General features: G+C 43.2%; 1 protein-coding gene across 6 annotated transcripts in view, besides 2 other annotated features; it reads right to left on the bottom strand.

Annotated features, from left to right (window-relative positions):
* The window catches only part of SHISA9 (shisa family member 9), a 661,420-nt gene that overhangs the window by 320,904 nt on the left and 316,229 nt on the right, over positions 1 to 24,287 (bottom strand). For 2 of the 6 annotated variants that reach the window (NM_001145204.3, XM_005255539.4), the window contains one exon: positions 1,698 to 7,084. The exons of the other annotated variants lie outside the window; for them this stretch is intronic. In NM_001145204.3, the coding sequence (NP_001138676.2) occupies positions 6,705 to 7,084 (380 nt within the window). In that variant the 3' untranslated portion in view covers positions 1,698 to 6,704. Of the gene's footprint in view, positions 1 to 1,697; positions 7,085 to 24,287 lie in introns of those variants that run through there. 6 annotated transcript variants of the gene reach the window in all.
* Positions 10,108 to 10,842: an enhancer, noted in NCBI's record as "OCT4-NANOG-H3K27ac-H3K4me1 hESC enhancer chr16:13325129-13325863 (GRCh37/hg19 assembly coordinates)". NCBI's record gives its function as "activates a minimal SCP1, AML or CMV promoter by ChIP-STARR-seq in primed H9 embryonic stem cells {active_cell/tissue: H9 hESC(primed)}" and the evidence as "EXISTENCE:reporter gene assay evidence [ECO:0000049][PMID:30033119]".
* Positions 10,843 to 11,578: an enhancer, noted in NCBI's record as "NANOG-H3K27ac-H3K4me1 hESC enhancer chr16:13324393-13325128 (GRCh37/hg19 assembly coordinates)". NCBI's record gives its function as "activates a minimal SCP1, AML or CMV promoter by ChIP-STARR-seq in primed H9 embryonic stem cells {active_cell/tissue: H9 hESC(primed)}" and the evidence as "EXISTENCE:reporter gene assay evidence [ECO:0000049][PMID:30033119]".

Raw genomic sequence — 24,287 nt, 5'->3', positions numbered from 1 at the left:
AATAGTACCCACCTTTTGCAGTGAGAACCAAATGTGGCAATGCATAGAAGGTCTTTAACAGTGTGTGGCTCTGCAAATAAGCTTGCTATGATTATTGTTGTTGTTGTTTATGAGTTATAATCCACCAGGTGGCTCACTAGAGGAATAGTGTGGCTCTCCTCACAGAGGTGTAATTCTCTGTTCTATGACTACATTCTTGGGGCTCTGATGTGAGTGACTCCAGCCACCAAGTTTCCAAGTGCTGAAAGAGCATCCTGTGTGTTCCAGACTTCTCTGATAACCAGAACTGTGCCCCAAAGACAGCCCAGGGGATCTGCTCTGGGTGATGCTAAGTGACCCTGTGGCCAATGAAAGGTCTCCAAATCCCAGAGTAAAGATCCTGACCCTGACTGCAAATCTCCCCTTTGCTTGACATTGACAATGTCTCTAAGCATCCAGAGAGTGGAAGTTTCATTCCCCAGGGACCCCAGATCTCTGGCTTTGGGCAGCCACTGTGAGTTCCTGCCCACATCCTTAGGGTCTTTGGGACTTTGGTGTACAGTGACTGGCTTATAATCACCAGTAGGTGCATCTCTGTGCCTAGGGATTTTTCTTTTTCTCTTTTTTTGAGATGGAGTTTGGCTCTTGTTGCCCAGGCTGGAATGCAATGGTGTGATCTCGGCTCACCGCAACCTCCGCCTCCCAAGTTAAAGCGATTCTCCTGCCTCAGCCTCCTGAGTAGCTGGGATTACAGGCATGCGCCACCACACCCAGCTAATTTTGTATTTTTAATAAAGATGGGGTTAATCCACGTTGGCCAGGCTGGTCCTGACCTTAGGTGATCTGCCCGCCTTGGCCTCCCAAAGTGCTGGAATTACAGACATGAGCCACCGTGCCCGGCTGCCTAGGGATTCTTGACACCATGAAAGTCCTTCTGCCTTTGCACATGACAGCCTAGGAGTGTCTGAACATTAGCATCCCTGAAAGCAATTTGGAAACAATGTCTGATGGCCATGGGCACGTAAACACCCAAGCTCACGTTACTTGGGCAGGATGATTCTGTGTGTGTGTTCAACACTGTCTCCCAAAGTTTCCCTGCAGCATGAAACTCCAGCCGTGCATAGTGGTAGCTGACATGATATCATACTCTTCTTAGCTGCTTTGCCTTCCTTATTGAACCTCCCACCCCCTCCCAGTATTCTCTTCATTTCTCACATCCTAATCTCCGAGCCTCTTTCTGGAGGAACCATAGTCAGACAGGTTTCTACCTGAAAATTTCAAACTCTATGCTACCAGAGGCCAGACAGGAAATAAAATTTAATAAATAGGGGAAGAATCGAATCTTCCATCCTTTCAATATTTGTGTCTTCTATGACCCTGATCAGCGTTCAAAACTAAAGTTCAAATCGCAGCAAGATTCTTGACCATTAAGAATAAATTTAGTTATGATGAGGAAACCTAGCAACAATAGATTTCTAAAGGCAAAAGGATGTGAACTAGGAGATGTGACACAAACTTACCAAAAACGCTTCAAACACAAAGTCTCCTGGAAAATGTGTATATGTTGCTGTTAACTAGAAATTGCCTTTGCCGGAAACAACTTCCCATATATTCTGAGTATTATAGACCTCATTCTCTATGCTAATATTGGTGTTCCCTGGTGAAAACACAAATTAGGATGCAGGGTTCTAGAAAGATACATGACAATCCCAACAGCCTCACATATAATCAGTTTTATTGCCAGGTAAGAAATTCATATTAATATAGTGAATACATATGTTTACAAATAAACATTCTTAGAAAACAAACAAATGTGTTTTTTTCTTCATTGTAGGAAGAATTATTCGTATCATAAACTCTGCAGTTGTTGACAAGTATTAACACAGGTTTACTTGCAGAACATACGGTTACTAAAATATTCGCACATAAAATATGCTCCATTTACACAAAAAACTGGGAAGAGTTAGATGGGGAGGCCAGGCGGAGCCCAAGGCAGATGGAGGCTGAGACACTGTGAAAGGGCAAAGGGAAGTCAGACTCTGGTCCCATTGGGTTGGAAACTGGGGGACAGCTAAAGGCAAAAAATAGGGGCTGATGTCAGGGCATGGAATTAGGAAGAGGACAGCCTGTCTGCTTTGTTCTGGTTTCTCTCTTCTAGGTCTCACTACCCTAGCTATAGCGTCCTTGTCTTGGTACATGGAAGTCACAGATAGTTCCATAGGTTGTCCCGTCTTTCCATATTGTGAGGTCTGTCTACCCTCCCAAGAGGAAGCCAAAATTGACAAATGGGATCTAATTAAACTAAAGAGCTTCTGCACAGCAAAAGAAACTACCATCAGAGTGAACAGGCAACCTACAAAATGGGAGAAAATTTTCGCAACCTACTCATCTGACAAAGGGCTAATATCCAGAATCTACAATGAACTCAAACAAATTTACAAGAAAAAAACAAACAACCCCATCAAAAAGTGGGCGAAGGATATGAACAGACACTTCTCAAAAGACATTTATGCAGTCAAAAGACACATGAAAAAATGCTCATCATCACTGGCCATCAGAGAAATGCAAATCAAAACCACAATGAGATACCATCTCACGCCAGTTAGAATGGCAATCATTAAAAAGTCAGGAAACAACAGGTGCTGGAGAGGATGTGGAGAAATAGGAACACTTTTACACTGCTGGTGGGACTGTAAACTAGTTCAACCATTGTGGAAGTCAGTGTGGCGATTCCTCAGGGATCTAGAACTAGAAATACCATTTGACCCAGCCATCCCATTACTGGGTATATACCCAAAGGACTATAAATCATGCTGCTATAAAGACACATGCACACGTATGTTTATTGCGGCACTATTCACAATAGCAAAGACTTGGAACCAACCCAAAAGTCCAACAAGGATAGACTGGATTAAGAAAATGTGGCACATATACACCATGGAATACTATGCAGCCATAAAAAATGATGAGTTCATGTCCTTTGTAGGGACATGGATGAAATTGGAAATCATCATTCTCAGTAAACTATCGCAAGGACAAAAAAACCAAACACTGCATGTTCTCACTCATAGATGGGAATTGAACAATGAGAACACATGGACACAAGAAGGGGAACATCACACTCTGGGGACTGTTGTGGGGTGGGGGGAGGGGGGAGGGATAGCATTAGGAGATATAGCTAATGCTAAATGACGAGTTAATGGGTGCAGCACACCAGCATGACACGTGTATACATATGTAACTAACCTGCACATTGTGCACATGTACCCTAAAACTTAAAGTATAATAATAATAATAATAATAATAATAATAATAATAAATACTCCATGGATACATTAAAAAAAAAAGAATAAAAAGACCTTCCCTATCCAAACTTCCCTCTTCAGTTCATCTCCCAAAACCAACTGGAAGATAATAAACTATGAAGCACTTCCTGAGCTTTCCATCCTAGACAGGACTACTTGGAAAGTACGTGTCCTTCTTGGGCCATCATTGTGGCTACATCTTAATGACCAGTCTGCACCTTTGCTGCCAAAATTACAACTGCAGACCCCAAGGAGCCCAGTTCAATTGATGAAGTTTATTCAGAGGAGAAGGAGCATGCAGAAGGAATACAATACTACAGATTTAGAGGCCAAGAAAGACTCTTAATCAGAGTTGAGATAAGGGTGGGACGAAGTGGACTGGGGGCAAAGAGCAACCACGAGGTAAAAGGGAGATAAGAATTATGGAAACTTTGAGCTGGAAAGAGCCTCACAGATAAGTCAACCCAGGGTTTTCTGAAGTGTGGGCTATGCACCCCTAGTGTATGCACAATGATCATAGGCAGTACATAGCTACAGCATTGTTCAACACTGACTTGCATAGGAAATGATTCCCCTTTCATTTACTTTTTGGTCCATCTTATTAGTACAAAGAGAAAGTCTTCATTGGGTGCTGGTATTTTTAACAATTATTTAATACCTGATGATATCATTTTAAGAGAGAGAGAGAAACAGAAACAGAGAGATGGAGAGAGAAAGAAAGAACCCCAGGCTTTAGTTCAGACTCACAGACAACAGACTCCAGCTGGAATTTAATCATCGCTGCTTGTTTCCTTTGTACTTATTTTTATGTTTGCTTTCTATTTATGGCAACTGATGATTTTTTTTAAATTTGTGATGAAGACAGGAAGTTTTCATTTTAAAAACAAAATGCATTAAAATGAATCAATTTAGATACAAATATTGTGAAGGTGATATACAGAGATGCCAAAGTGTGTTGCAGGTACATAGCTCATTAACGTCAAGGAAACTCTGACCATGCCCAGTGGTATTTACTTGACTCTGGGAAGCTCTGGGGTCTTCCCAAGGAGGCTGAGAAGGTGGGCACTAAATCTCTGACCCCAGCTTTGTACAGCATGGTACCTTTTTATACATGGAGATCTCCTATTATGCGTTCTTTGAAAGATCTCTTTTTTTTTCTTTTTTTTTTTTTTTTTGAGATAGTCTCACTCCGTCACCCAGGCTAGAGGGCAGTGGTGTGGTCTCAGCTCACTGCAACCTCCCAAGTTTAAGCGATTCTCCTGCCTCAGCCTCTCGAGTAGTTGGGATTACAGGCACCCACCACCATGCCCAGCTAATGTTTGTATTTTTAGTAGAGACGGGGTTTCACCATGTTGACCAGGCTGATCTCAAACTCCTGACCTCAGATGATCCACCTGCTTCAGCCTCCCAAAGTGCTGGGATTTTAGGTGTGAGCCACTGTGCCTGGTCAAAAGATCTCATTTTTAAAAACAGGTAGAGGTTTTGCAGTTTCAAAAAGCTTGACCTACCCCAATTCCCCATGTTTCAGATGGGAGACTCAGGCCCAGAGGGATCAACTGCATTGTTGGTGTCCTCGTATCTGCTGGGAGTGAGGAGAATAAATATCTGGTTTTGCTGATTTCGTGATGTCAGAGTGGAGAGACAGGTGAGGCAGAACCTTGCAGCTCAGGATTTCAGAAAATACTCTGAGTCTTGTTTGGCCAGACCATTTATAGCTTCTGACACCAGAGTTGCTGTGGGTCTGTTGAATGTTAATTAACTACCAAAGACCTTTAGGGGCTAGTTGAAAAACCTTCCACCTTAGATAAAAATCTCTTCTCTCTCAATCCACTTCTTTGGGCTTCCACAAAACAAACACAACTTGTAGGAAAACTGACTTTGCTGGGACCCCAAGGACTATGGATTATGAGAACCAACCAGAAAAACAACCTCAGGACATTCTGGATGGGAGATGAACACATGAAGTATGTGGGGAGGTAATTTGGAGGGACCATGGGAATTACGGGACCAAGAAACATCTGACAGGTTTGAGAGGGCTAGAAAATGGAAGGACTAATTTTGATAGTGTAGAGAGTAGGGAGGTCTTCGTTCTTGGGTACCCCTGACATTGTAGCAGCCCCTCAGAGGGTGTTATGGGGTGGGCTCACCTACAAAGGAAGGATGGAAACATCTTCTACTACTGCAGAAAAAGAAGAGGAAGGAAGGCTAAAAGAACACAGGTTGCACTTGGGAAACAAGACTGTCATTAAACAACAGTAACACATTGAAGGCACCACCCACGCTTATGACATTTTCAGTCCAAAGCAGTTGAAGTTTGGCAGCGGCGGCGGCAACGCGCTGAAGGGAAAGGGATGTCAGGGACATACAGTTTATAGAGGACTTGTTTCTGTGGCTGTTTCAGGTCTTGGAGGCAAAACCCAGAAATCAGAGGCTTCTGGATCCTCATCTGATCTCCTGTGGACTTTTCCAACTGTGGATTTGTTGTTGTTAATGTCAACAAGTCTTCAAGATTTTTGAAAAAAAAAAAACACCTAATTTGCCGTTTTTATCTGTTTTGTAGTGGGCTTACATTTTAATCCTCTTTTTAAAAAGTTATTTGATACTCTCCGGACCCTCTCCGTAAAAGCCCATCCCTCCCATTTCCACGGTCATGGTCCTTATGGGAGTTCTCTAAAATGTTTTTTGTTTTTTGTTTTTTCCTTCCCATCATTGTCGGTGGGTTCAGGGTCTATTTACTTTCTGTGAGTTTGAGGGTGTGTTGTTTTTTGCTTTCAACATGGATGATATGAAAAGTACTATAAATAGAATGGTTGGGGTCCAGTTACTGTTTCATGCTCGTCAAAATTTTACGTCCACGTCACCACTTCTTGGAATTAGAAAAATGCTTCTAATGTGGGCAAATTCCTCCCAGAACAACTCCTCTTCCAGAATACACTCTTCTCTTGTGTCCTCCCTCATTCTCTACCCCCATTTCCACCCTGGCTTTCGAACCTAGAAACAGACAGCACGTGGCAAGTAGTGTATGTGCTCAAATGGACAATTTCTCTAAATTGTGCTACTTTTATATTTTGTCACCATGGATTTCAGTTTCAAGTTAGGAGGAAAAGAAAACTCAGCCCCACGGTTTGGGCATGTGAGTTGGCCATCTTGGGCCTGAAGTGGAAAGAGTGTGCCTCATTTTCCCCTTTGCTGTATTGCTGAATGTCCACGCTTCGGTCTTTCTCAGCTGCCCGCCGACACGTTACAGGCATGACCTAGGAAAAGCGCGACTCTGTGTCCCCAGTAGGTTTAGAGTTGGTTCTTGTTGAGAGTGAGTGTGTGGACGCATGTATTAGGGGAGGATGGGGAGGGTGTGGGCGGGGTTGTTTTTTGCCTCTCTCAGTTGAGTGTGGTCTCCAGGGTGCTCCCTGTGGTGAAAGCTCAGACAGTCACTTCTGTTTTGCTGTTGGTGATGAAGTATGGCTGTGGGGGTGGGTAGTGCTGGGGGCGAGTTCCCAAGGGGTCGCTGGAGCCTGTCTCGGCCGTGCCAAGCTTGCCCTTGTTGCTGTAAGCCTGCCGCCGGAGGGACTGCTCGTTGGGGTCCCAGCCCTTAAAGTTGGTGGTAGAGGTGTAGGCCAGGGGATGTGGGGGCATCTTGTTGGTGCGGGACTTCTGTCCATTCTGCTTGGCAGGACCGTGCTCAGGGCTGAAGGCCCGGGGCTCGTCCTCCACTCTTACGGGGTGCAGAGGTAAGTTCCCCTTGGCAGCCAGCTCAGCCAGGTGCCGTCGCTTGGTGTAGAAGTCGTCATTGACCTTGTCAGCTACACATCGGAACGGGTGGATGAAGAAGGGGAAGAAAGAGAAGAGAGAGAGAGAGAGAGAGAGAGAGAGAGTTAGAGACTGGCATGTCAACCCAAGAACAGCATAAAAATGGGCCAACAGTCCAAACAAGACACACTAGAAACTCCACCTAGAACAAGACAGAGGGAAGGGCAGCACCATGCCCTTTTCACAAACAAAGAGCAGGACCAAGAGGATTAAAGGCATCCCCAAGGGAACCTCTAGACCTCCGAAATAAACACTTCTCCCCCCACAGTCCCACCTACCATTCTGCCATCGTTGGTTTGCCTATGAAATTCGCGTGTTGTTTCTTTTTTATTAAAATGATACATTTTCATTAGAGAAAAGAGTGAACATGTTAAGTGATCTTCCTATCTATGACCTACCAATCAAGACAGCCGATAACAACTTTTGGGTGTATTTTCTTCTGGTATTTTTAATAAACAGAGTTTAATTTGGGATTTTTCTCCGCTGGTTTGTTTGCTTTTGTTTTTGCTTTTAGCAGTTAAACCAGACCTGTATTCACATTTCAACTGTGACACCTGCCAGCAGCTTAACCTTGACTAAATTACTTAACATTTGTCAGCATCAGCTTCTCCATAAGGAAAGCCATTACAATAAAAAAGTATACTTCATAGGTCTGTTTGGAGAGTTAAATGATATGATCTGTGTAAAGTGCTTAGATATTATCTACCACCATTATCATCGTCATTATAAATAAGTTTGTTTCTATTTCTCAAGTAATGTTCTATCAAGCATTTCTTCATGTTGTTATAAATTATTAATAAACAGGATTTTCATGTGTACCTAGTATTTCATTGAGTGGAACTATCAAAATTAATTAATTCCCCTATTAATGAGTGTTCTAATTGTGCCAATATTTTGCTATTACAAATACAGTTGTATGTAATAGCAACTTTTCACTTAAACCTCTCTTTATATTTAGAATTTTGAATTTAGCATAATTCTAAAAATGTTTTCTTATTTATTTATTTATTATTATTTTTTCAGACAGGATCTTACTCTGCTGCCCAGGCTGGAGTGCAGTGGCACAATCATAGCTCACTGCAGCCTCTACCTCCTAGGTTCAGATGATTCTCCTGAGTAGCTGGGACCACAGGCAAGCATCACCACACTAGGCTAATTTTTGTATTTTTTTGTTTGTAGAAATGAGGTTTCACCATGTTGCCCAGGCTGGTCTTGAACTCCGGGGCTCAAGCAATCCTCCCACCTTGGCCTCCCAAAGTGCTTGGGATTACAGGTGTGAGCTACCGCACCAGGCCTGTTTTCTTAATTTACATCAGGGATTGGCAAACTATAGCCCACGGGGCCAAATCTGGCCACATCCTGATTTTGTAAACAAGGTTTTATTGGACACAAAACCATGCCCATTCATTTATATATTATCCATAGCTGCTTTTGTTCTGCTGTGGTAGAATTGAGTGCTGGTTGAAACTCAGCTGACAGAAACCGTGAGACCTGAAGAGCCTGAGATATTTACTACCCAGTCCTTCTTTAAAAAGTTTGCTGACCTTTGATTTGGATTATAAAAAGTAGAATTATTTGGCCAAAGAGTATAAACATTGTTAAGGCTCTTGATACATATTGCCAACTATTCTACAAAAGAGTTTTACCAATTTCCACTCAATTTAACTACACTCTCTCCAGCATTGAAGGATTCCTTCCTTCCTTCCTTCCTTCTTCCTCTCTCTCTTCCTCCCTCCCTCTCTTCCTTCATTTTTACTTCTCTTTCTCGTTCTTTCTTTTGAGGACTAAGCTCTGATTTTTTCTTATCTTGCCCAGATTTCTATCTAAGGGGTCTGGGAGTCATATCCTACAAACCATAAATTCTCATCAGATGGGTTTTATTTAACGCTATATATCGTGACTTACTTTCCTATCTGACTCTGACACAACATTACATGACAAAGAAGAAAGTCAAAATATTTTACCCCAAAACATGTTTTTTTGTCGTTCTTTGAAATGGCCCTGCAAAAAAAAAGTTTTTTTGTGGGGTAAAACCTACATGTGTAAATAAGCTCTATTAACATAGCTAGATTTTTTCTTCCAGGCCCTCCCAATCGTAAAGAGATTAACTGAGAGTCTAGCACCTTTTAAAAGTCTAAATAGGAAACATTTGTCTTCTATTGTCTCTAAGGGCTGCCACTATAAGACTTCAAAAGAACCTTGGTCTCCACAATCTTTTATCTTCACCTGAACATTCCCTTTCTATTGATCCCAGGTCTTTAGACTCAACCAATTGTCAACCAGGAAATGTTTACATTTACCTATAGCCTTGAAGCTCCCCACTCACCATCCCCTTCGAATTGTCCCATTTTTCTGGACCAAACTTATGTATTTCTCAAATGTATTTGATTGATGTCTCATACCTCCCTAAAATGTATAAAACCAAGCTGCAGACCAGCCACCCTGGGCACATGTTCTCAGGACTCCTGAGGGCTGTGTCATGGGCCATGGTCACTCCTATTTGGCTCAGAATAAATCTCTTCAAGTATTTGACAGAGTTTGACCTTTTTCATCAACACTTTCTTTTCTTTTCTTTTAATTTTTTTATTATACTTTAAGTTCTGGGATACATGTGCAGAACGTGCAGGTTACATAGGTATACATGTGCCATGGTGGTTTGCTGACACTTTCTTTTCTTATTTGTTTTTCATTTGACAATTTTATGAAATCTCCTTTTATTTTATTTTAATTTCTGAATTCTTTTATTATAAGATTATCTACACTTTTAAAATTAATTCATTAGCAATAAACTTTTGAACTTTCATCTCTCAGGGGACCAGAAGTATTTGCTCTTTTATCCACACGTTGGGATCTCACAGTGTCACACATGTGAACTTACATAAAGGTTAAAGAATGCCTGCCTCCCTACTAGAATGTCCACCCCAGCAGGGCAGGAACCATGTCTGTTTCTGATTCTCCTTCATATCTTCAATATCTGATTCTCCTCCTTACAGGGCTCTATGCTTCTTTTCTCATTAGATCCTTTCAACAATGAAGGTGGAAAAGATGGGGACTATTTCTCCCGCTTGACAAATAAGGAAACTGTCAAGCTCTGGCATATAAAATGATTAAACTAAGGTTACCCAGAGCTAATGGCTGAGCCAGAGTAGAACCTACATTCAATCAACATTATTTGAAAGGCCACAGACGGAAACCCTTGGTTTCAGGACTGAAACAAAAATATGTCCCTGTTTCTGATGCTGTGTCTATGCTAGACATCATTCATTGATCACCGCACTCTTTCCTGGCTAGCGTGGCCTCCACTCGGACTACTGCCCAAGGAAACAACCCAGGAAGCCACATATTAACTTGCTATGTATGATACAGTTTAAGTTGAGTTTATATTCCTTGTAATGCAAATAGCTCCGACTGATAAAGCCTTTCAAGAGAAACTTCCTCTTTAAATTCTAGGGCTACCTGAAGGTATGGAATGTCAAAGCCAAAAGGAATCTTGGAATCTGCTAAGGCTGTGAGGATCACACATTCCTGAAATGTCATGAATTGTTTAAGGTAGCACAAGTTAATATTAGAGCTGGGACTAGAACCCATCTTCCTGCCTTTTGGAGGAAAGCTCTAGATTTCCAGTGCCATGAAACTTCAATAGAAGAATACTCAAAGTTTCCCCCTTCGACATCAAAATTTATATGTCATTACCTCCTGGATTCAACAGCATCTCTGGCCCAAGGTGGCCATGCCTGAACCCAGCAACATTACTCAGATCTGTTCTTCAGCCTCTTTCTTATCTCTCACATGGGAACCACCCATCCCTTAGCCACTTAAGCCAGAAACTTGGGAGCAATGGTTGACTTCATGCTCCTCTTCTCTTGCAGGACAACTGTCAGAGGCATGTGAACCAGAGCAACCCCATCTTGAATAGCAGCTGGGTAAAATGAGGTTGACACCTACTGGGCTGCATTCCCAGATGGTTAAGGCATTCTTAGTCACAGGATGAGACAGAAGCCTGGCACAAGTCATAAAGGCTTTGCTGAAAAAACAGGTTGCAGTAAAGAAGCTGACCAAAACCCACCAAAACCAAAATGGCCATGAGAGTAACCTCTGGTCATCCTCACTGCTACACTCCCACCAGCGCCATGACAGTTTACAAATGCCATGGCAATGTCAGGAAGTTACCCTATATGGTCGAAAAAGGCGAGGCATAAATAATCCACCCCTTCTTTAGCATATCATCAAGAAATAACCATAAAAATGAGTAACCAGCAGCCCTCAGGGCTGCTCTGTCTATGGAGTAACCATTCTTTTATTCCTCTACTTCTTATTAAACTTAATTTCACTTTACTCTATGGACTCGCCCTGAATTCTTTCTTGCATGAGATCCAAGAAACCTCTCTTGGGGTCTAGGTCGGGACTCCTTTCCCGTAACAAAGGTGGCCATGCCTGAACCCAGCAACATTACTCAGATCTGTTCTTCAGCCTCTTCCTTATCTCTCACATGGGACCACCCACCCTTTAGCCACTTAAGCCAGAAACTTGGGAGCAATGGTTGACTCCATTATCCTCTTCTCTTGCAGCACAACTGTCAAACCAACAAGTCCTTCCAGCCATACCTAATAAATATTTATTTAACCTATTCCCTTTCTCCTACCCCCTTTGAACATTGTTCTCCTTCAGTAACCAAACTGGCCTCCTTGCCTTGTTTCACCTCCTCCAATCCTTTCTCCATGTTGCAGTCTTTGAGCTGTTTGTTCATTCATTTAGTCATTCATCAAACAGGTACCCACCATGTACTGGACACTTGAAATATGAAGAAGAATCAGAAACAGACATGGTTCCTGCCCTGCTGGGGTGGACATTCTAGCAGGGAGGCAGGCATTCATCCAAACCAACCTGCCTTCTTTTCTGTCTCCTCTCTTTCCTTCTTCCACCAACCGTGTTTGTTGAGGGCCTAGTTTGCTCCCTGAAAGGGCACACAAAGGGGCCTTGATCTGATCAGGAGGGAGATGGTGGTCAAATAATCCCCCAAATTACATAAATGTATAACTATGGTAAGTGCTATGAAGGGGAGCTAACCAGTCATAGCAGTACTTATAATGAGGTCCCCTATCTGGTCTAAGAACCAGGTGTCTGAGCTGCAGAGTCTATCCCCTTCATTAGCACCAGGTTTACTGTTACTCATCTTGCAAGACTTAGCTGAGATATTGCCTCCCTCATTCCCTCAGACTTTCTCAGCCACCCCTGCTCTCTCCATCATAACACTGACTACGCTGTTTTATAAATTTCTGTGTTCACATCTGTTTCCCCACTAGACCACGAGTTCTTTGAGAGCAGAAATATCCTTCCATCTGGGTGGCTCAGTGGTTCTCAGTCCTGGCAGTACATGGAAATCACATGGGGGAGCTTTAAAAGTGTTCAGACACCTGGACCCCTTCCCAAAACCATTTGATCAGAATTTCAGAGATTGTGGCCCAGACATATATTTTCTAAGTCCCTCAGGTGATTCTAATATGCAGCCAGGGTTGAGAACCACAGGGATAGCCTCTGTCGTTTTCACAGTTCCAGCACATAGGGGTGTTTTTTGTTAGAGAACTAAAGGGAAGTATCACTTCACTCCTATTATGCCCAGCTGCCTCTCCCCTGAGGTCCCTCTCCCTTCTAGAAAGTCCGATAAAGTCAGATCTCTCCATAATAAGCTCCTCCCGTGGCATTTATCATGACTGTCATTTTACACTTGTTTGTGCAGTTCATTCATTATCATCCGTCTCACTCACTAGCGTTCCAAGATGAGGTATGACTTTTGGCCAGCATTATATAAGCAATGTCCAGCCTAGTTCCTGGCAGATATTAAGGACTCAGTCAAATTTTTTTTGAGACAGTGTCTCGCTCTGTCACCCAGGCTGGAGTGCGGTGGCACAGTCTTAGCTCACTACAGCCTTTGCCTCCTGGGCTGAAGTGATTCTCCTGTCTCAGCCTCCCAAGTAGCTAGGATTCCAGGTATGTGACACCACTCCTGGCTGATTTTGGTATTTTCAGTAGAGAAGCGTTTTTCCATGTTGGCCAGGCTGGCCTCAAAGTCCTGACCTGAAGTGATCCACCCACCTTGGCCTCCCGAAGGGCTAGGATTACAGGTGTGAGCCACCACACCTGGCCTCAGTAAATATTTGATGAATGATGAGAGAGGGAAGAGGGAGAGGATCAGGAAAAATAATAAGTACTAGGTTTAATACCTGGGGGATGAAATAATCTGTACGACAAACCCCCATGACACAAGTTTACCTATGTAACAAACCTGCACTTGTACTCCTGAACTTAAAAATTAAAAAAAATATATGAGCAAAATACAGTGAGAACATAGAGAATATAGGGCAAGAATAGGGGTGGAAGCTATCTTTCTCACTTTCCTCCCAGTAATCTTTCACTGAAAAATCTCACTCGCCCTCATTAAATGTCTTATAATGATCCAGCATCATTCTTTCCCATGTTCCTCTTTCCAGACATCAGACCAGTCTGAGGTCTGCTCTGAGCAAGGGATGCATTCAATGGTTCCTGTTTCTGAGAAGCAGACAAAATAAATTATGAGTTAAGCATCCCAGCAGCTTCAATACATGATGTCCCCTCAGAAAGTTCTAAAGAAAAGTAGATACAGAGGCATTCAAGTCTGTCCATATCCGTGCAGATGGGGGGAAAATCCCATTAAGAGGAAACAGTGAGTCCCACATGGAGAATCCACACCATCCTCCTAACCTAACTCTGAGCTGGTTGCTTGGTGAATCTGGTATTGGGTACTCCCTGAGCACAGAAAGTGTTTGGTACTTGGGGCAAGAGTGGAGTGAAAAAGAAAGTCTGCAGGCTCTGGAATGAGACAGATCTGAGTTTATGAGACCTTGGGAACACCACTTAACCATTTATGCCTGTTTCCTTAGGTGTGAAATGGGGATAATATTAACCACTCTTGGATTTAATGTGAGCAATGAATTGCATGAGATACACCTGCTACACAGCACAATTCCTGGAATGTAGTAAATGCTCAATACCTATATTTTACCTATTCCCTGCCTTAAGAAAGAAGCCCTGGATTAAATTTGACAGACATTGTTTGAACACTTACTCTATGGTAGGCAACTTACTAGGCACAAAGCAGGCATTCATCCAAACCAAGCTGCCTTCTTTTCTGTCTCCCTTCTTTCCTTCTTCCACCCACCATGTTTGTTGAGTGCCTAGTTTACTCCATGAAAGGGCACACAAAGGGGCCTTGATCTGATCAGGAGGGAGTTGGTGGTCAGGGAAGCTTTATTGTTTAAGGTAGCACAAGCTAACATTACAGCTGGGATTTGAACCTATTTTCCTGCCTTTTAGAGGAAAGTTCAAGATTTCCAGTGCCATGAAACTTCAACAGAAAAATAATCTAAGATTCCCCTTTAGACTTCAAAATTTATATATCCAGTTACCTCCCGGACAGATTCAATAGCATCTCTGGCCCAAGGTTGTCATCCCTGAACCCAGCAACATTACTCAGATCTGTTCTTCAGCCTTTTCCTTACATCTCACGTGGGACCACTCACTCCTTAGCCACTTATGCCAGAAATTTGGGAGCAATGGTTGACTTCATTCTCCTCTTCTCTTGCAGCACAACTGTCAAACCAACAAGTCCTTCCAGCTATATCTAACAAATATTTCCTTAACCTATTCCCTTTCTCCTACCCCCTTTGAACATTGTTCTACTTCAGTAACCAAACTGGCCTCCTTGCCTTGTTTCACCTCCTGTAATCCATTCTCCATGCTGCAGTCTTCGAGCTGTTTGTTCAATCATTTAGTCATTCATCAAACAGGTACCCACCATATGCTGGACACTTGAAATACGAAAGACAATCAGAAACAGAAGCAGACATGGTTCCTGCCATCCTGGAATAAACATTCTACTAGAGAGGCAGGCATTCATCCTGCCTCTTGAGAAAGAACTCTTTAAGCTGAGATCAGAAGGTGAAGAGTAACAGAAAGAGCAACCCACGTGAGGGAATATGTGGCATATTCCAAGAATGACCAAAATACTTTGCAGCTCTTACCATCAAGAAGTGGAATCTATTTCCCCATGCCTTGAATATGTCCTGGCATTATGGTGAGCTTGGACCAGTAGATTCTAGCAACTTCTACTCTAAGGCTCTTGAAATCTGCCTCCATGTGAAGAAGGGATCCCCTAGACTCCTGGAGGATGAGAAACCCATAGACCAGTTACCCCTGTTCAACACAACTAACCAACTGCTAACTGCAGTATGTTCAGTGAGGCCATCTTAGACCATCAGCCACCTAACAGCAGACCCAGATACCAAGAAAATCCAACTGAGAGGAGCCAATCCAGCCCAAACAAGAACTTCTCCGTTGACCCAGAATCATGATCTCGATAAATGGTTGCTATGCTCAGCAACTAAGATTTGGAGTCATTTGTTATGCAGCAGTTGATAACTGATACATGACAGCATTTGCAAAAGCTTTGAGGTGAGAAGGAGCCGAGTAGCTTCAAGAACCTGAAAGGATATCTGAGTTATAGATGAAGAAGGCAAGGGATCCTCAGGCCATCTAATGTCCTATAGGCAAGATTATATCATTCATGCCTATTCATTTAACTAACCATTCTCCCACCCTAGGACTCAGGTGGTCTCTTAGAGAAGCACAGTGTAGGCACTGAACTGGTGCCTGGTGCATGAAACTATCCTCCAAAGAGATATTTTCAAGATTATTTCAACAACAAGGAGGTGGTTAGAGGTTAGATGGATGAATCATTTCCATTACCTGGAAGTGCAGTTTTCATGAAAACCTGTTTTCATAATGTTTCTGTTCCCCTCTGGTTTGGAGCCAGGTGAGGGGAAAGAAATGCTTATCTAGCCACTCTTGGCTTTGTGCAGTGTAGTCCCTGTCTTAGTATATTAAAAAGCTACTTGCAAAAGAATAACAGATTCATTGAACAGTCTTGTAAGCCCCATTAATAAATGCATTAACCTAATCAGCCCCGGTACCTCGTGGGCAGATGGCTGACAAACTGACCAGGAAACAGATGTGTGAGCCTTTCAACAACACTGGCCCTCTCCTATTTGACTTTTCTTCATTTACAAAAGAAGAAGAAGAAAGGAAAAGGTGCTTTCCTTCTAATGACCCTAATTGCCTTGAAGAAACTGGGGCTGTAAAATTAAACTATACCTTCCTCCATCTGTCTCTCTCTTAATTAGCAGCAGACACTTGTACAGGTGCGGGGCGGGATGGAGCCTGGCTTCCGTGGAAAGGGAGAACGTCAAGGTAATAACCAGTTCCCAAAACAAGCTGCACATCTGAGGGTCTCAGCAGGCAGCCTCCCACCTACCTCCTTTCCTTGAGGCAAAGATATCTTAGGGAGGGGTTCCTACCACTCATTCTTTCTTGGTAATATTCCTGGGTCACAGGTGATGGATTTCACCTGGTAAGCAATGCCCCAACCAAAGCTTTCACATTTCCTCATCGGTTTCTGCCTTTCGCTCAAGGGTATGATAAAAGACAGCAATTAATCTTCTCATTACACTTAAGAACAAAATCCAAATTCTTTGCAGTGGTCCCTGAGGTCTGTTTGACGTGGACTCTAGCTACTTATGCACCCTCCTCTGCTCCATACCTATTGTGAACACATCACAGTGTGTGTTCGTTTGTTAAAGCTGCCATCACAAAGTACCACAAACTTGATGGCTTAAAACAACAGAAATACATTCTCTTGCAGTTCCAAAGGCCAGAAGTTGGCCGGGCCATGCTCCATCTGAAGGCTCTGCTAGAGGATCCATTCTTGCCTCTTCGAATTTCTGGTGGTTGCTGGCAATCCTTGGCATCTCTTGCCTTGTAAGCTACATCATTCCAATCTCTGCCTTGGACTTCACGTGGCCATTTTCCATGTGTGTGTATGTGTGTGTGCGTGTGTTTATGTGTCCAAATTTCTCCCTTCTTATAAGGATATCAGCCACAGGATTAGGGCCCACATTAATTCAATATATCCTCAACTCAATGACCTCTGCAAAGACTCTATTTCCATGTGCATTCCCAGCCTGAGGTTCTGAATGGACAAGGATTTAGGGGGGTACTATTCCACTATACATGAGATTCCTTTCTGTTCCTGAACACGCCAAGCTTGTCACCATCTCAGGACCTTTGGACATCATCCCTGCTGTTTCCTCTGCCTAAATACTACTTGTCATCTGGACCTGTGACCAAAGGCTACCTCCTGAAAAACCCTCCTAATACCCAAAGAAGACACCTCCACCAATGGCTCTGATGACCTATCCCTATTTTAATATGTTCATAGCTCATATTACTATATAAAGTTATCTTTTTTGGTTACTTGTGTATGCTCTGTCTCCCTTAACCAGAATATAAAGCTCCACTTAGGGCAGAGGTTGTGTCTGTTCTGCTCACTGCTGTATCCTCAACGTCCAGCCCAGTGCCTGGTATACAGCAGGCGTGCAATAATATGCACGTGATGAAAGAAGGAAAGCACTGATGATATTCCAGTTCCAATGACAGTCCCTGAAATATGAGAAATGGGCAGGATATTACATCTCCTGGTCATTCAGTCTGTATCACCGAAGACTGAGTCATCTGTTCTTTACAGGGATTGAAGGGCTGGAGCTCAGGTTAAGTGCTTTTATGTCGCAGACAGGCGAACTAGGATCCATTTTCCTGTCTGAGAATTTGCAGAGACCTGGATACTCTTTAGCAGACCTAGCTCGGGGGAAGGGAGGTAGAATAAAGTCAGGTGAAGAAGGCAGGGATTGATTAAAGAGACTGTTTGGGTATATCAGAAGTCTGAGTAGAGACAGGGACTTCCTCTCTATTTCCCCACTCTTGTCAATGGCAAACTGAGTAATTGCTCACCTTTCTTAAGTGTGTGTTCTATGCTACTGCCTTCACTAGGAATTTACATTTGCTATCCCCTTCAATACTCTCAACATCCTAATGAGGTAGGTGTTACCATTGGTTTTATTTTATAAGTAGGGAAACTGAGGCTCAGAGAGCTTTGGCTGTTTATCCAACAAATGGAGCTGAGACTTGAACCCAGGACACCTGGCTCCACTGCCTCAAGTTATGGCCATCACACTCAATATTTATGGAAGCTTTTGCCTGCAGTATAGAATATTGCAATGTAGGCATTCTACATTGCCTGCAATGGACAATGAATATTGCTTCTTTGACAATATTTATAAAGGGGAATTCCTCTGCACATGCCCTCTCTTGCCTGCTGCCATGTAAGGCATGCTTTTGCTCTTCCGTGGCCTTCCACCATGATTTTGAGGCCTCCCCAGCCAAGTGGAACTGTCAGTCCATCAAACCTCTTTCCTTTATAAATTACCCAGTCTCAGGTACATCTTTATTCGCAGCATGAGAACAGACTGATACAAATGATGACAAAGAACCAACGTGTTGGTTTTGAATCCTACACTAGGCTCTTGAAAGCTATGGTAGAGCCCCCAGTCTTGAAAAACAAGAAATGAGATCTGGGAATGTTGAGAAGGAAAGAGGAGTTAATATGGCTGGGAGTTTGAAGGATTCAATGCACCAGTTTTATATGACAGATAACAAAGTTTGGAAATATGCACATCTCACTCTGTCACCCAGGCTGAAGTGCAGTGGCATGATCAGAGCTCACTACTGACTTGACCCTCCTGGGTTCAAGTGATCCTCCCACCTCAGCCTCCCGAGAATCTAGGACTATAGCCATGCAACACCATGCCTGGCTATTTTTGTTTTTATTTTTGTAGAGAAGGGTGTCTCACTATGTTGTCCAGGCCTGTCTCAAACTCCTGAGCTCAAGCAATCCTCCTGCCTCAGCCTCCCAAAGTACTGGGATTACAGGCATGAGCCACCGCACCCAGCCATGTCTGACTTTTGTGACTACAAAATCTTCTTTACCATATGGAGGAAAGAGTATAAACTTTGACAGCAGATGGATCTGGGTTCAAATCTCTAAGCTTCACCTATAAAATTGAAACTAAAATAACCAGGCCTATGTGGCCTGGGGATGGAGAGTATTGAAGAGAATCGTGTAGAGGACGTTGCATCCTGAAAAAAGGCCAATGTCATTGCCTCATAGCAAGTATCCAAAGGGTAGTAACTGCTATTTCTGTCGTCATCAGAAAATATAAAGATTATAAAATTAGGATAATGTTATATATACCTTGTGGATATACACCTTGTGGTGTGTGTATGTATATATATATATATATATACATACACACACACCTTGTGGAGTGCAGTGTAGAAGTAAACGAGACAAGGCTTGCGAAAACTCAGAACATTATGCATAGTGCATGGTACATCTCCTGAAATGTACATTCCCATCAGAGAAGATGCTGTGGCTGCCTGCTTCTTATCTCCCAGATCAGATTTAGTCTACCTTCTTTTTCTTGGACACATGGTCACTCAACTCAGAACTAGATTTACCAGCCTTCCTGGAAGCCACATTTGGCCATGAGACTGATATCGCACCAGTGAAATAATAGCAAAAGTGATGTGTCCTATTTCTGCTTTACCTGACTTGCTTTAAAAAAAGAAATCCTTGTTCTAGGTCTCCTCTCTTCCCTCTTCCCCCAGGCCAGAATTACACAGTGACAGCAACCAACTATAACAATGCAGATGAGGACAAGATGGTAAGAGTCATAGTGCAACAAGGTTGGAGGAACCTGGGTCCTGGAGTGACCACTCGGAGTAGAGCTGCCCACCAACCTGGATTACTCTCCTTGGGTCATGATATGGTTTGGCTGTATCCCCACCCAAATCTCACCTTGAATTATAATGATTCCCAAGTGTCTTGGGAGGGACCTGGTGGGAGGGACCTGGTGGGAGGTAACTGAATCATGGGGGTGGGTTTTTCCTGTGCTGTTCTTGTGATAATGAATAAGTCTCATGAGATCTGATGGTTTTATAATGGGGAGTTCCCCTGCACACACTCTCTTGCCTGCTGCCATGTAAGACGTGTTTTGCTTCCCCTTGGCCTTCCACCATGATTGTGAGGCCTCCCCAGCCATGTGGAACTGTGAGTCCATTGAACCTCTTTCCTTTATAAACTACCCAGTCTCGGGTATGTCTTTATCAGCAGCATGAAAACAAACTAATACAGGTCTATCACATGAGACAGCTATATCCAAAACAGGCAAATATATAAAGACACAAAATAGGCAAGTCATTGCTTGAACCAGGGGTTAGCTGGGAGAGGACTGCTAAGACAGTAAGAGATGGAAAATGTCTACTAATGGTTATAGAGTTTCTTTCTGGGATGAGGAAAATGTTCTAATATTGACTGTAATGATGGTTGCACAATTCTGTGAACATTCTGAAAACCACTGGATTTTACACTTTAAATGGGTGAATTGTATGATAGGTGAATCATATCTCAATAAAGTTGTTTAAAAAAGAAATACTTCTTTCTCTTAAGCACTGTATTTGTGGGACATTTTAGTACCGTAAAACAGTATTTAACTTATATAGGACCGTTTTCTCGGTCTCTGCTTTCTTCTTCTTCACAAGCTGAATTAAAAAGTGATAGGGAAAGAGTTCATGTTGTTAAAAAAAAAAAAAAAAAAAGTCCAGGTATTTCTCTCTTCTTTTGAACTACATGGTATAAAGTTGTGCAGATTCCAGAGGCTGTCTCAGCAGACAGAAACAAGAAAGGCAGGAAAAAAAAAGCCTGAGTTTCCTAAGCAGGAGAGGACCAGGGAGTAGATGGAAGATTTGTCTTTATGGTGAATTAGTTGCACTTCACCTGCCTCCGGGCCTTGCTGCAGAGACACAAGTAGCGGAGGCTGCACATGAACCAGGTCCTAAAGAAGCACGGGGCATCTGGCCCTCCCCACGGGGCACCATATCTTTCCCAAAGCCATATTGCTCTAAGAGAGAAAACCGGAAAAAGGCGTCCAGGAGCCTGGCCCTTTTTTAGTCTTAACCCTGAAGGCTCCCAACAGGCGGTGGTACTGTGATTTTTTTTTTTTCTAAAATCCCATATATAGGCAAACTATTAATCCAGAGTGAGGAGGGAGCCTTTGCTAGGGAGAATTCTAAAACAGCCCCTGGCTTGGGCTTTGCAACAAAGCTGTCCAGCCTGTACCATGGGCCCCCTTTGTTGTGGCTGCCAGGAGCCCTCTGAAACCTCAGGCCCTTTCTCTCTTCACTTAGGCAGTCCTGCTGTGCAGTCAACATCTTCTGAAAGGCTACTGGACAACGGTGGACAGGCTCATTCTCCAGCCATGGCTGAGCACAGATCCCCTCCCACCGATTCCCACACAGGGTTCTGGATGGAACTGCATCCACTCACTGCCTTCCTGTGCATTGCTGCTATATAGATAGAGATTTTTTTTTTCCAGAAATTCATTGCATGGTCTGTCTTCCAATCATCCTCCCAGCTGGTGAAATTTCATACAACTGGTGGTTTTCTAAATGAAGCAAATTAAGGGAAAGAATTCTAAGCCCTACTTGTCACCTTCCTCTTGGCTGTAGTTTCCTGGGACCATGTCAATGTAGATAATTATGAGATTTGGGATCCTATGTTAGATTAATGCATGAATCAATTCTTTGACTTTCTCCATCTCTACACTCTGTTCCGTGTGACTAAGAGATGTTAGCAGACATGAGACATACAGGCATTTGGAGAAGTGCTTGCTGGTTTGAATTTCTCTCTTGCACCTCTCCCACCCTCATGAGACCATATCTGGGCTGCCTTATTTGAGGATGAGGCACATGGAGCAGAGTCAAGTCACCCAAGTCATTCCAGTTAAAACCAGCCTAGATCACCCAACATCCAGCCAACTCCCAGAGAGATGGGTGAAATCACCTGAGATAAGAAGAACCTCCCACATCAGCTGAAATCACTGGAATATAGACTCCTGATCTAAATAAATGCTGGTCTAAATACATTTTAAGCAATGAGATTTGAGGTTATTTGTTACGCAGTGTTATTGTGGCAGTAGCTGACTGATAAAAATGCCAATCATTCACTCACCATACTTCCAAGAAGAGCCCCCAATTTTCAGGTGAGATGCATCTCTTTCCTATTCTTTTTTTCTTTTTCTGAGATGGAGTCTCACTCTGTCACCCAGGCTGGAGTGCAGTGGCGTGATCTTGGCTCACTGCAACCTCCGCCTCCTGGGTTCAAGTGATTCTTCTGCCTCAGCCTCCTGAGTAGCTGAGATTACAGGCACCCACTATCATGCCCAGCTAATTTTTGTATTTTTGTAGAGACAATTTCACCATCTCTGTTGGCCAGGTTGGTCTTGAATTCCTGACCTCAGGTGATCTGCCCACCTCGGCCTCCCAAAGCCTCTCTCCTATTCCTAATCCATGTGGTTTGGATGTCATATCCCTCCACTTCCCCATGCCCCAGGCATTCTCCATTTCTTTGCCCTCCTCCTACAAATTTGTTCAGAGGTGGGCACATGACAAGGTAAGGTAATCAGAGCAAAACCTGGGATATTTACTTACAGAGGCTCAGGGGGCAAAAAAATTAATAGTCTCAAGCTTTCCATCTTTCAGGAGAGGAAATTTTAGCACCTGTTATATACCAAGCTCAAAGACTGTCACATGGATAAACCAGTATTGGGTCTAGAATACAGGTTTCCAGACTTCCCTCTGGTTGATTCTCATTTCCCAGTACCTTTTCAGAAAAGACAAAATTTCCTTTGAACACTATGCCCAGTTTCATTTAATAATTTATTAACAAAATATATGTTGATTGCCTACTGTGTGTGCTGTGAGTGTCACGCAAGATGGCTTTGGAATGAACAGGATCTGGCTGGGTTAGCCTCGGAAGGACACACGGCCAAACTAGTCAAATGTTTATTGCAATCTTGATGCAAGAGCATTTTCTACAAACCAGAGAACCCTCTTTGCGCATTCATTTCATGCCCTATGGGTTCCCAAGGAAGCTCATCAAAATCCCAGCACTTGCTGTGTGCTTTTCAAAGGGGACTGAACTCAGGAGCGAGTAGGATTTGATTTTTATTAAAAAACTTCACCTCACATCACCCTCCTGTCTTCCACCTGCTTTGCACCCGGCGGCTCATGACCAAACCAATAACCAAAATCAGGAAATTGCAAAAGCCCAAATTTCATGAAGTAATGTTTTAAAGCTGCCTTTCGATGGGTGTTCCCTCCCCTGGGATGGTCTATAGGATGCATGCACTCCAATGGAACTGTAACCCTATTGCACATTGTCTATTGTCTTGTGCCTCCTGCATGAGCATTTCTCATTGGGCTAAGTCAATTTTCTTAGAAGAAGGAAAGAACTAGCATGTACTGAGTACCTACTATGGGCTAGACACTGGTTTAGCGATTTTACGTACATTGTCTCATTTAAACCCTCTTAAAGAGACATGGCAGGCAATATCATTCTTTCCACGTGACAGATGAAGGAACTAAGGTCCAGAGATGTTAAATAATTTGGCTGACAAATTACTCTGTCACTGCCAATAAGTGGCAGAGCAAGAAACCAAACCCAACACTATCCACTTTCAATGCTGTTACCGTCCAGCTGTGGCCCCAGCTCAAATCACCACTAAGAAAACAGTTTTATTTCAGCAAACAGCAAAAATACATTGGGAAGAACGCCGGTATGTAAACGGATGCTGTGTCGCAAACTGCGATTGCATCTAGGGTGGGGGATTAGGAAAAGCTAGGTCTAAACTCTAATGTACATAAGAATCACCCAGGAGGTGCATTTTAAAAATGAATACTGGGACACGACACTCAGATGTTCTAATTCCTTAGGAGTGAGTGGGCCCAGGATCTACATTTGTAACAAGCGTCTCCAGTGATTCTGGGTCAAGTCCTCAAGCCCCTCTTTGAGGTCTGGACCCTGGTCCTGTTGTGACGTACTTTTCTTTTGCGGTTTTAGGAAACCCCAGTTTCCTCATGTATAAAAGCAGAAAAGCTAGGTGAAATGTCTTTCCTTCCTTCTTTTTTTCCTTCCTTCCTTCCTACCTTCCTTCCCTCCCTCCCTCCCTCCCTTCCTTCCTTCCTTCTCTCTCAGGTTGGAGTGCAGTGGCATGTTCTTGGCTCACTGCAGCCTCTGCCTCCACGTTTCAAGCCATTCTCTTGCCTCAGCCTCCCAGGTAGCTGGGACTACAGGCACATGCCACTGTACCTGGCTAATTTTTCAATTTTTAGTAGAGATGAGGTTTCTCCATGTTAGCCAGGATGGTCTCG

This window comes from Homo sapiens, chromosome 16, assembly GCF_000001405.40.
Source record: "Homo sapiens chromosome 16, GRCh38.p14 Primary Assembly".
Taxonomy (NCBI): domain Eukaryota; kingdom Metazoa; phylum Chordata; class Mammalia; order Primates; family Hominidae; genus Homo; species Homo sapiens.
Note: the sequence above shows the minus strand (reverse complement) of the source record. Positions and strands in the feature narration are given on the sequence as shown.